This window comes from Homo sapiens, chromosome 1 (assembly GCF_000001405.40).
Source record: "Homo sapiens chromosome 1, GRCh38.p14 Primary Assembly".
In the NCBI taxonomy this organism is placed as follows: Eukaryota; Metazoa; Chordata; class Mammalia; order Primates; family Hominidae; genus Homo; species Homo sapiens.
This window is the reverse complement of record NC_000001.11, coordinates 160,257,855-160,270,300: the sequence shown is the minus strand read 5'-3', so window position 1 is coordinate 160,270,300 and position 12,446 is coordinate 160,257,855. Positions and strand designations below refer to the sequence as shown.

The window sequence follows — 12,446 nt, the reverse complement described above, 5'->3', positions numbered from 1 at the left end:
GTGGCAGGTGCCTGTAATCCCAGCTACTTGGGAGGCTAAGGCAGGAGAATCGCTTAAACCTGGGAGGCAGAGGTTGCAGTGAGCCGAGATCGCACCATTGCACTCCAGCCCAGGCAACAAGAGCGAAACTCCATCTCAAAAAAAAAAAAAAAAAAAAGACAATCTGGCCCGGGTGTGGTGGCTCACATCTGTATCCCAGCACTTTGGGAGGCCAAGGCAGGAGGATTGCTTGAGCTCAGGAGTTCAAGAACAGCCTGGACAACAAAGAGACTTTGTCTCTAAAAAAAAAAAAAAAAAAAAATTAGCCGGGCATGGTGGCATGTGCCTGTGGTCCCAGCTACACAGGAGTCTGAGGCAGGAGGATTGCTTGAGCCCGGGAGGTCAGGGTTGCAATAAGCTGTGTTCACGACAGAATAAGACCTCTCTCGAAAAAGAACAAAGAAAATCTGTTGGGCATGGTGGCATGCGCTTGTAGTCCTAGCTATGCAGGAGGATCCCTTGAGGCCAGGAGTTCAAGGCTGCGTTGTACTATGATTGTGCCTGTGAATAACCACTGCACTCCAACCTGGGCAACATAGTGAGATGTGGCTCCCTGAAAAATTGTTTTTTGGCCGGATGTGGTGGCTCATGCCTGTAATCCCAGCACTTTGGGAGGCCAAGGTGGGCAGATATCCTAAGGTCAGGAGTTTGAGACCAACCTGGCCAATATGGCGAAACCCAGTCTCTACAAAAATTAGCTGGGTGTGGTGGCGCATGCCTGTAGTCCCAGCTACGCGGGAGGCTGAGGCAAGAGAATTGCTTGAACTTAGGAGGCGGAGGTTGCAGTGAGCCACGATCGCACCAGTGCACTCCAGCCTGGGTGACAGAGCAAGACTTTGACTAAAAAAAAAAATTTTTTTTTTAAAGAAAAGTCAATTTAAAAGTGGGCAAAGGATCTGAATAGACATTCCTCCAGAAAAGATATAAAAGTGACCTATATAAGCACATGAAGAAATACTCGACATCATCAGTCATCAGAGAATTGCAGATCAAAACCACAATGAGATACCACTTCACAGCCACTGGGATGACTAGAATCAAAAAGTGAGATAAGTGTTGTCAAGGATGGGGAGAAATTGGAATTTTCATACACTGCTGCTGTGAATGTAAAATGGTGCAACTGCGTTGGAAAACAGCCTGGCAGGCCGGGCACGGTGGCTCACGCCTGTAATCCCAGCACTTTGGGAGGCCAAGAAGGGCGGATCATGAGGTCAGGAGATCGAGACCATCCTGGCTAACATGGTGAAACCCCATCTCTACTAAAAATACAAAAAATTAGCCGGGCGTGGTGGCAGGCGCCTGTAGTCCCAGCTACCTGGGAGGCTGAGGCAGGAGAATGGCGTGAACCCGGGAGGCGGAGCTTGCAGTGATCCGAGATGGCGCCACCGTACTCCAGCCTGGGCAACAGAGCAAGACTCCGTCAAAAAAGGGAAAACAGCCTGGCAGTTCCTCAGATGTTTAAATATAGAGTTAACCATATGACCCAGCAATTCCATTCATTCCTAGGTATATACCCAAGAGAAATAAAAACACGTTCACACAGAAACTTGTATATTAATGTTGATAGCAACATTATTCATAATAGCCAAAAGGTGGAAACAACTGAAATATTCATCAACAGATGAACACATAAAATGTGGCTCATCCACACTATGGAATATTATTTGTCCATAAGGTGAAATGAAGTACTGATTAATGCTACAACATGGATGAACCTTGAAAATATTGTGCTCAGTTAAAGAAGCCAGTCACAAAAGAGCACATACTATATGATTCCATTCATATGGAAGTCTAGAGCACAGGAATCTATAGACACAGAAAATAGATGAATGGTTTCTTAGGGTTCTGGATGAGGGAATGGGAAGATGGAATGGGGATTAACTTAAAAGGCACTAGGTTTCTTTTTGAGGTGGTGTAAATACTCTAAAATTGACTGTGGTGATGGTCACATGTATCTATGAGTATACAAAAAGCCATTGAAATGTATACTTTTTTTTTTTTTTACTTAGGAATACATTTTTTCCCCAAAAAATGCCATTGAAGTATATACTTTAAATGAGTGTATTTTATACTTTTTATTTGTTTGTTTCTTTTTGCGACAGCCTCTCCCTCTGTTGCCCAGGCTGGAGTGCAATGGTGTGATCTCAGCTCACTGCAACTTTTGCCTCCTGGGTTCAAGCTATCCGCCCACCTCAGCCTTCCAAGTAGCTGGGACTTACAGGTGCATGCCACCACACCCAGCTAATTTTTGTATTTTATTTTGTAGAGATGGGGTTTCATCATGTTGCCCAGGCTGGTCTCGAACTTCTGGACTCAAGCAATCTGCCTGCCTTAGCCTCCCAAAATGCTGGGATTACAGTAGTGAGTCACTGTGCCTGGCCAATTGTATACTTCAAATGAGTGAACTGTATGTGAATTATATGTCTTAATAAAGCTGTTAAAGCCTGGGTGCGGTGGCTTATGCCTGTAATCCCAGCACTTCGGGAGGCCGAGGTGGGTGGATCACTTGAGGTCAGGAGTTCAAGACCGGATTGGCCAGCATGGTGAAACCTTGTTGCTACTAAAAATACAAACATTAGCCGGGTGTGGTGACGGGTGCTTGTAATCCTAGCTACTTGGGAGGCTGAGGCAGGAGAACAGCTTGAACCTGGGAGGCTGACGTTGCACTGAGCCGAGATTGTGCCACTGCACTGCAGCCTGGGTGACAGAGACTCTGTCTAGAGAGAAAGAGAGAGAGAGAAAGGAAAAGAAAGAAATAAAGAGAGAAAGAGAAAGGAGGGAAAAAAGGAAAGGAGGGAGGGAGGGAAAGAGAAAGGAAGGAAAAAAGAAAAGAAAGAGAAAGAAAAAAGAAAGAGAAAAAAGGAGAAAGAAAGCTGTAAAAAAAAAAAAAAAAAGTGCCATTGGCCATCAGGTACATGAGTCTAAAGCCTGAGCTGGAAATAAAGACTTGGAAGTCCCTTTCCGTGCTACCTACAGAGGGGTCCATATGGCGTTGTTCTGGATTCCCGTCGTTAACTCAAAGGGAAACTTTCACAATGTCCGGAGCCCTTGATGTCCTGCAAATGAAGGAGGAGGATGTCCTTAAGTTCCTTGCAGCAGGAACCCACTTAGGTGGCACCAATCTTGACTTACAGATGGAACAGTATATCTATAAAAGGAAAAGTGATGGCATCTACATCATAAATCTGAAGGGAACCTGGGAGAAGCTTCTGCTGGCAGCTCGTGCTATTGTTGCCATTGAAAACCCTGCTGATGTCAGTGTTATATCCTCCAGGAATACTGGCCAGAGGGCTGTGCTGAAGTTTGCTGCTGCCACTGGAGCCACTCCAATTGCTGGCCACTTCACTCCTGGAACCTTCACTAACCAGATCCAGGCAGCCTTCTGGGAGCCATGGCTTCTTATGGTTACTGACCCCAGGGGCTGACCATCAGCCTCTCACAGAGGCATCTTATGTTAATCTACCTACCATCGCTCTGTGTAACACAGATTCTCCTCTGCGCTATGTGGACATTGCCATCCCGTGCAACAACAAGGGAGCTCACTGAGTGGGTTTGATGTGGTGGATGCTGGCTCGGGAAGTACTGTGCATGCGTGGCACCATTTCCCGTGAACACCCATGGGAGGTCATGCCTGATCTCTGCTTCTACAGAGATCCTGAAGAGATTGAAAAAGAAGAGCAGGCTGCTGCTGAAAAGGCAGTGACCAAGGAGGAATTTCAGGGTGAATGGTCTGCTCCAGCTCCTGAGTTCACTGCTACTCAGCCTGAGGTTGCAGACTGGTTTGAAGGTATACAGGTGCCCTCTGTGCCTATTCAGCAGTTCCTACTGAACAATGGAGCACTCAGCCTGCCACGGAATACTGGTCTGCAGCTCCCACTGCTCAGGCCACTGAATGGGTAGGAGCAACCACTGAATGGTCTTAAGCTGTTCTTGCATGGGCTCTTAAGCAACATGGAAAAATGGTTGATGGAAAATAAACATCAGTTTCTAAAAAATAAAAAAATAAAAAATAAAAATAAAAGACTTGGAAGTCATCATTACGTGGATGGTAGTTTTTCTTTTTTTTGGAGACAGGGTCTCACTCTGTCATCCAGGCTGGAGTGCAGTGGTGTGACCTCAGTTCACTGCAACCTCTGCCTCCCAGGCTCAAGAGATCTTCCTACCTCAGCCTCCTGAGTAGCTGGTGCACACCACCACTCCCTGCTAATTTTTGTATTTTTTGTAGAGATGAGGTTTCGCCATGTTGCCCAGGCTGGTCCTGAGCTCAAACAATCTGCCCACCTTGGCCTTCCAAAGTGCTGGAATTACAGACGTGACCCACTGCGCCCGGCCCTGGACAGTAGTTTAAATGTGAGAATGGATACAATCACTGAAAGAACATGTAGAATGAAGGGGAAGAGAAGCTAATTAAATAAATGATTAGAGAGATAAAAACAAAACCGTGGAATATAGTGTTACGGAAACCAGTGGGATTGAGTATCTGTCACAAGATGGATACACAAGGGATAATAATCATCACAACCTCAAATTCAATAGGAAAGCCCAAATAAGAAAGGGAGAATTCAGTGGTAATAGCTATTGATTTGGTGGTAATAACCATGGTGTCCACAAAACAGTGGGTACAAAAAGCAGATCATAGAAAGGGAGGCCTCTATCCCTATAGCTTCCACTAAGATGACTTGCCATGGTCTAATCCTCCATTTTCCAAGTCCGATGGTCAATTTCCAGTTATCTTAACCTGTTTTATGACAGGAATGATGGAGATTATAGCCCCTTCTTGAAGCTTTTTTTTTTTGGTTTGTTTTATAAGACCCCTCACTTTTGAGTTTTATTCTTCCTATTTCCTGGCTACTCTTTTTAAATAAATTTTGCTGTATGTTCCTCCTCTCTGACCTTTATTAGTTGGAATGCCTCAGGATTAGAGGTCTCAGTCTTTAAACTGCTTCTCTTTGCTTCCACATTGATTTCTCTCCACCCCATGGCTATGTATGCCATTTATAACTTAATTAATCCTTAATTTATACCTCTCATTGTCCCTTGTATGAGCCCCAGGTTCATATTTCCAATTGTTTACTCAGTAGCTCCATTCGGAAATCTAATAGGGATCTCCAGTTTAATATGTTTGAAGTAAAATTGGACATTCCCCCCCGCCAAAAAAAACCTTGCTCCTGTCTCCTCACATGCGCTCTCAGTAAACGACATCACTATTTATCCAGTTACTCAAATCAAACTGATTTTTGTACTTTGACTTTTGTACTTTTTTACTGATTTTTTATTCTTGTCTTTATCTTGTACCCCACATTCAATCTATTAACACATCACCTCTCCACCACTTTCAGAGTACATCCTGAATCCTACCAATTTCATTGCAACACTAGTTTTGCAGGTCTTCTGCAATAGCTTCCTAACTGGTCTTTTAGCTTCTATTTGGCTTCCCTATAGGGAATTCTCAAAGAATAACCAGAGTGAACATCTTCAATTATAAATCAGATCATGCCACTCTTCTACTCAAAACCCTCCATGGCTTCCTAGCATTCTTAGGATAAAATTCAAAGTCCTTTCTTTGGTCCATAAGTCCGTAAGTGATCTGGCTCCCATCTTGTTTCTCCAAACTAAGTTCCTATCTATTCTTTTGCCACAGTGGCTTCCTTGCCAAGCACACTCAAGCTGCAGGGTCTTTACCTTGTTGTTTCTTCTGCTTGAAATATTCTTTCCCAAGTATGTATAGCTTATTGTCTCACTTCAAACCTTTATTTAGATGTCACCTCAGCAGAGGGGCCTTCTCTGAATCCCCTATGTAAAAGAGCACACCCATCCAGGTAACCCATTTTTATTCTGCTTTATTTTCCTTTACAGTACTCTTTATAACTTTATTATCTGTGTGTCTCTCCCCTCCTCCTATGCTCCCAACCCTTGCACTAATAAGTTCCATGAATGCAAGAATCTTGGTTCTATTCACTGTTGCAGCCCCAGCACATAGAACAGGGCCTTCCAGAGCAGGAATTCAATAGTTGTTGACTGAATGAATGAAAGAATGAATAGGACGGTGGGGCATTAAATAGCTACTTTGTGCTGTAGCCCTCTTCTAGGTGTTGAGATTACAAAGATGATAAAAACACAGTCCTTGCCCTCAAGAATTTATATTCTAGTAGTATAGCTGGATCACAAACATAATTTTAGATTAAATGTTATAGGTAAAAAATGTTATTAAAAAAACAGTGCAGAGTAAGGGGATAGAGGAGGATGACATGAGGTTCCATTTTAGTTACAATAGTCAAGAGCTGCCTGTGTTAGGAAGTAGGATTTCAATAGACACCTCAAGTCTAGTAAATATCTAGTAGATGGACATTCCAAGAAAAGGAAAAAAACCCTAGGGCTGGGACATGCTTTGACTGGAGTGACAGTAAGGCTAGTGAGGCTAGAGCAGAGCTAGGCAGTGTGGGAGGAGATGAATCAGATAAATAGGCAGGTGCTAGATCAGATCATGTAGGGTCCTCCTTAGAGGCAATTCATTTTTTGATGGCCTCTAAGGCTATCATACTTTTGACTTTTATTATGTGATGGGAATTGGAGGTTTTGAGCAGGGTGGGGACTGGGGAAATAATACGACATTACTTTTTTTTTGAGACGGAGTCTCATTCCATTGCCCAGCCTGGAGTGCAGTGGTGCGATCTCAGCTCACTGCAACCTCCGCCTCCGGGTTCAAGCAATTCTCCTGCCTCAGCCTCCCAAGTAGCTGGGATTGCAGGCGCGCTCCACCATGCCGGGTAATTTTTTTTTTTTTTTGTATTTTTCGTAGAGACGGGTTTCACCATGTTGGCCTGGTTTCAAACGAGTTTCGAACTCCTGACCTCAAGTGATCCGCCCACATCCGCCTCCCAAAGTGCTAGGATTACAGGCATGAGCCACCGCGCCCGGCCAGACCTTACATTTTTAAAAAGCACTCTGGCTGCCTTATGTTTAACTGTAATGGCAATAATGGAAGTAGACAAACGAGGTAAGTTTCTATTGCGGTAGTCTTAAGTAATATGTAATGACTTGGAATAGGAGAGTAGCGGTAGGGGAGGTGAGAAAGGGTCAGATTTTTGCACCCTGGGCTTCTGGTAAGAAAAAAAAAAAAAATACCCCAGCCTGGCAGCTGGGAGTAATCCTCTGCAGGGTTACTGTAGGTGTCATAACGAAACAGAGTACAAAAGTCACCCCACATCACCCGGCCCACTCTTGGGAACCTTTACCCACACCACCTCTCTTCAGAAAAGAGCTTCTGGAATAGCTACACCTCAAGCTACTGAGCCCCTTCTTTAAAAATACGTAAATGGGGACTCTCAGGGGAAAATGGGCCTCGATAGTATAGAAACCACTTAAGGAAACAAAGCCCTGAAAGGAAACGGGGATTTTCAGAAGAAATCCTTGTGGCAATCATTGCTCGTTCCAGTGTTCAAAAACGGCAAAACTGGCCATCATCCAGGAAGTGGCCTGCCAATCCGCTGGAAATTTAGTTTATTTCTATCACAACTCTGGGTAGCCCCTAACTCGCATTTGTTTAGAGTATCACAAGATAAGCAAGCCCGAAGAAACTACAAAAACAACTTTGCCTCTTCGGTAATGCGCAGGCGCCTCTCGCTCTGTTTTCCGTTGGCCTTAAGCCCCGCCCCTTGTGCGTCCTTCGAGGAGGGTTGCGAGCCGTGAGCTCGCGCGACCACTCTTCCCTCAGTCTTCTCGAGCACATCGTCGCAAACGGGGCCGGAAAGCGTGGCAGCGCAGGCGCAAGCGCAGAGAGCGGAGGCGGTGGTGGTGGCGGCCGCTGGCCAGTGTAAGATGGCGGCGGCGTTGGTGGTGGCAGTGGACGGGGCGGCTGGGCCTGGAACAGTCGGAGCAGCCGCTAGCAGAAGGATGACCCAAGACGGGAAGCGGGCTGCTGAGCCTCGCCGATTCCCGTGCTTGTAACTGCCCCAGCCGGACACCCCCCCTCCCTTGACCTACCCGGTCTGTGTCTCGTTCCGGCTCGGCCTGCGCCCCCCCTCGCTTCCCAGCCGGTTTCCCCTAAGGATGGGCCTGACCCGTATCCCAAGCTCTTAGCGCTCAGGTCTTTTCCTTCCGCCGACCCGAAGTCATCGCTGGGAGTACTGGTTGCCCTTTCCTCAGGTCAGCCCTGGTGTTGCCCCCAAGAGCCAGCCGCACAGTTCACAGGGACGCCTTGCTTCGTTGGGTGACCCATGTGTGCGCTCCTATTTCTCCCCTTAGATTGAGGGACACGGCTCGCCCTGCGTCTCCCCGTCACCTCAGGGCCACCGCGCAATGTGTCCCCCTCCCCCATCCCAAGTTCCCAGGCCCAGCACCTTGTACGGAAGGCGGAGGTCCAAGAATTCCGGAGTCGGTTGTTGTCTTGTGGTCTTGTACCCTTTGTAATATAATTATCTTAGTTTACCTCCTCTAACTCCCAAATCTTTTAGGATATCTTAGAACGGTCCCATTTGGTCCCTGTTAGTTGGAAAGCATCTGGTGGCTTGAATTTCTGACTCATGATTGTTACTGGAGTCTCTGTAAACAAACCGGCACTAGCGCTATCACATTCTCTCCGGGATTTCCCCCCCTGCTCTGTGGCTTCTTGTTGAGAGGTTGTTTGGTTATGGTTTAGCGTTGAAAAGATTCAGGTTATCCTTTTAAATGACTTTACGTTTTAGTGGAGCTGGGAGATTACTTGCCTGGCTTCTAATCTTCATGTTGGTTCATTTTATTTCCATATGTGTGTGGGTTATTTGTTCAGTAATTAGAATTAGATAAAGTATTCTGCTTTTAAGTAGTTTTGAGAAGGCCTAAAAATACTAAAGTGTATTCATAAATATTTTTATTATGTTCAGTAGAAGACACACCTTTGCCATGTAAATTTTAACTTTTCTCAGTCCTTCAGTGAATCTACAGACCTATTTTCTCAGGAGCTCAGCCTGGCCTTACTTCAGTGATAAAAGGAGGAAAGGTGAGTGGGAGTTGGAGGCATTAAAATTCTTGAGTTCAAGACAGACTGCGCTGATGCTCAACTGCTGACCACTAAAGTCATAAAATTCCTACCAGTTTCCCAAAGAGCTTGAGTGTTGTTCTTGGCTTTGTTCCAGCTCTGGTTGAATTACTTTTACAAGTTTAATTGTCTGTGGGCTTCTTGTCTTTCTGTCCTAAACTATTGCTGTGTATCTCCAAATGACTTAAGCCTAGAAGTGAATGTGTGCCCCCTGCCCCATGTCTTCTTTTCTTCTTTATTCATTTTCCTTGTATTTTGTCTTTGTGTCGATCATATTTTTTACGTTGTTAAAAACTGGAACTTAGTTTGCCTGAGTTCTGTTCATCCTGTTGTCAAATCAGGTCTCTTCCCCTCTCACAGCTTCGGGTTGTCATCCCTTGGTATTTAGAGGAGAATATTTAGCTGCTTGTGACTAAAAGCTGGGGAGTGATGAGTGATGCTGCCTTTAGTTGGTGTCTGAGTCCAGTCTATTTCAGAATTCCGACTTTTTAGGATATAGTGGGAAATTTTTTGTAAAAAAAAAAAAAAAATAGTGGCTGCTCTTTCTTTTGTAGCTGGTCTGAAGAATTCTTGGTTAGCAGAAGAAACATCCTGGGCATTCAGCAGCATGGGTTGGTGCCAAAAAGGGAGTCAGAACATACTTATAAATGCAGTTTTCGTGAGGCTTTCAGGTTTCTGGTAGCAGAGACTAGAGGCTCATGGCATGTGACAGAAAAGCTAAGTGACTGGAAGGTAGGCCTGGCCAATTCCTAATATCTTTATGATTTGTAGTAGGAAAATATTGAGTGACACTGGTGAGTTTTATTCCATCTGATGACTGAATTAGAAAATGCTCATCATGGACTGGAATAAAATTATTAGTGATGGTGTATATGTGTATCAGTAAGATATAAAGAGAAAAGTACAGTCTTTAGAGATTGGACAGACTTTTAATTTAATTTTAAGGTTTAAATACTAGACTAATATTTCTTAGCCATGTGACCTTGAGCAAGTTACTTAAACTTCTCTGACTCTTAATTTCCACAACTCTAAAAGTGTGATAATACCACTTACCTCCCAGGGTCATTGTTAGTATTATAGGGAATCTATTTAAAGCTCTTAGTAATCTAAGAACACGTGGTACACACTCAAAAAATGTTGTTTTTTGGTTTTTTTTTTTTGCACATCATTGATACAGCTTTGAATAAGTTATACGTTAATTTATGCTTCTTTTACATTTTGCCTTAGAACACATTTTTCTGGTTAATTTTCCCAACTGATTTTTAATTGGTCAGCTTAGACGTGTCCTTTGTAAGTGCCCACCTAGAGTTGTCTTCTGAACATGAAACCCTTGGTGGGGGTTCATAACCAGAGGACAGAGAATATTAGATATTGGTGTATGTATATTTCAAAATGTATTCTTAAACATCAGTAAATTTTTTTGTTCATTGGTTCCTTCATCTTGGACTCTCTGTTAGCACACCTGATCAGAGTTGGCCGTGTTGTAATTCTTTCCCTCTCTGCTGCAATGTTGTTTACTTCTACTGCAACTATTCTTTATACTTTCCTTTTTTGCCATGAAGGGAATACATTTTTTCCTTCTTGTTGGGCTATACAGTGATCCTCATCAACAAATTATCAAAGAACTGTATGAGGAAAAGGTCTCTTTTTTTAAAAGTGAATCAGGGCTGGGGAGTTAGGAATGAAGAGGTTTTTTTTGTTTGTTTGTTTGTTTTTTGACGAGTCTTGCTCTGTCACCAGGCTGGGGTGCTGTGGCGCGATCTCAGCCCACTGCAACCTCCGACTCCCTGGTTCAAGCGATTCTCCTGCCTCAACCTCCCGAGTAGCTGGGATTACAGGCATGCGCCACCATGCCCAGCTAATTTTTGTATTTTTAGTAGAGGAGGGGTTTCACCATGTTGGCCAGGGTGGTCTCAATCTCCTGACCTTGTGATCTGCCCGCCTCAGCCTCCCAAAGTGCTAGGATTACAGGTGTGAACCACCATGCCCGGCCAAAGAGTTCTTTTTTCAGCTCCACAGCTGGACCGTCTTAATAATATGACAGCACAGATGAAGAGTTTTAAACCTTTTGTTGGCTTTTCTTTCGTATCTTTTTGGCAAGGGCACATGAAAATTAAGTACTGATAATATCACAATGAAAGCAGCTGTGTCATTCAGACCAGTGACCATTTTAGGTTTGATGAACTTTTCATTACCATCATCCAGGGTCTAAATTCTCCATTGTAAGGTAAGGATTCTCCAGGGTGGTGGTGAGGTGGGTTGAGATTGCATTTGTATCATTTGTGTTTTTATGAACTCTGAAGATCCATGTCGGGTGAAGGAAAGGATGGGAGGAGAAAAGGAAATACTTTGAAAGAGGGATAACTTGGACTGTTTATTTCCTTATGTGCTGGGTAAGAATGTCCAGGTGACATCTATATGTAGTAAATCAGTATTTCTAGTCTGTGGACCACACTGTAAACTTTTTATCTTTCTAAAGTTTTTTTTATTTTTGTAGAGATAGGGTCTCACTTTGTTGCCTAGGCTGGTCTCAAACTCCTGGGCTCAAGTGATCTTCCCACCTCAGCTGAGTAGCTGGGACCGCAGGGGCATATCACCATACCTAGCTAATTTTTGGTTGTTTTTTTTTTGTTTGTTTGTTTTTTTAAAGAGATGAGGTCTTACTTGCCCGGCTCAAGTGATGCTCCCATCTTGGCCTCCCAAAGTGCTGGGATTACAGGCATAGCCGCAGCACCCAGCTTGAAGATATTTTTATATTTCCAGGGTTTTAGGTGTTTACTTAAGAATTGTGACATCTTATTAGGTAGTATTTCCTAGGATGATTAGAGTGGGAGGCTAAGAATGCTTGTGACCTTTTAGTTCCCACCACCAACCTCTTAAAGTGCAGTCTATTTATTTATTTTTGAAATAGGATCTCACTCTGTCACCTAGAGTGCAGTGGCACTATCATGGCTCACTGCAACCTCGACCTCTTGGGCTTAGGTGATTCTCCCATCTCAGCCTCTCGAGTAGCTGGGACTACAGGTGCACGCCACCGTACCTGGCTAATTTTTGTATTTTTTGTAAAGATGAGGTTTCACCATATTGCCCAGGCTGGTTTCAAACCCCTGGGCTCAAGCAATCCTCCTGCCTCAGCCTCCCAGAGTGCTGGGATTACAGGCGTGAGCCACTGCACCCTGCTAAATGCAGTCAATTAAATGTATAAGAATCTGCCAGGCTGAGTGCGGCTGGCTCATGGCTGTAATCCCAGCACTTTTGGGAGGCCAAGGTGGGAGGATCACTTGATCCTAGTTGTTCAAGTCCAGCCTAGGCAATATTGAGACCTTGTCTCTACAAAAAGTTTAAAAAAAAAGCCAAGCATGGGGCAAGTACTTGCAGTCCCATCTCCTTG

The 12,446-nt window shown here is 44.3% G+C and overlaps 1 protein-coding gene, 1 long non-coding RNA gene and 1 pseudogene across 6 annotated transcripts in view, besides 4 other annotated features; 2 read left to right on the top strand and 1 right to left on the bottom strand.

The window, feature by feature from the left end:
- RPSAP18 (ribosomal protein SA pseudogene 18) lies at positions 2,998-4,032 on the top strand (annotated as a pseudogene).
- Positions 7,523-8,552, bottom strand: DCAF8-DT (DCAF8 divergent transcript). Its single transcript, NR_147618.1, has 2 exons — positions 8,379-8,552; positions 7,523-7,900 (listed from the first exon to the last, which is right to left on the bottom strand). It is a non-coding gene; the product is annotated as a DCAF8 divergent transcript (long non-coding RNA).
- Positions 7,668-7,937: an enhancer, noted in NCBI's record as "active region_1918". NCBI's record gives its function as "activates an Ori minimal core promoter by ATAC-STARR-seq in GM12878 lymphoblastoid cells {active_cell/tissue: GM12878}" and the evidence as "EXISTENCE:reporter gene assay evidence [ECO:0000049][PMID:35858748]".
- Positions 7,668-8,817: a biological region, named in NCBI's record as "NANOG-H3K27ac-H3K4me1 hESC enhancer GRCh37_chr1:160231274-160232222".
- Positions 7,752-12,446, top strand: part of DCAF8 (DDB1 and CUL4 associated factor 8) — a 46,830-nt gene continuing 42,135 nt past the window's right edge. For 2 of the 5 annotated variants that reach the window (NR_028103.2, NR_028105.2), the window contains exons 1-2: positions 7,752-8,184; positions 8,943-9,016. The gene's annotated coding sequence lies outside the window, so the exon portion shown is untranslated. The remainder of the gene's footprint in view (positions 8,185-8,942; positions 9,017-12,446) is intronic. The other 3 variants (NR_028106.2, NM_015726.4, NR_028104.2) reach the window with 3 other exon arrangements.
- Positions 7,869-8,817: an enhancer, noted in NCBI's record as "NANOG-H3K27ac-H3K4me1 hESC enhancer chr1:160231274-160232222 (GRCh37/hg19 assembly coordinates)". NCBI's record gives its function as "activates a minimal SCP1, AML or CMV promoter by ChIP-STARR-seq in primed H9 embryonic stem cells {active_cell/tissue: H9 hESC(primed)}" and the evidence as "EXISTENCE:reporter gene assay evidence [ECO:0000049][PMID:30033119]".
- Positions 8,568-8,697: an enhancer, noted in NCBI's record as "active region_1917". NCBI's record gives its function as "activates an Ori minimal core promoter by ATAC-STARR-seq in GM12878 lymphoblastoid cells {active_cell/tissue: GM12878}" and the evidence as "EXISTENCE:reporter gene assay evidence [ECO:0000049][PMID:35858748]".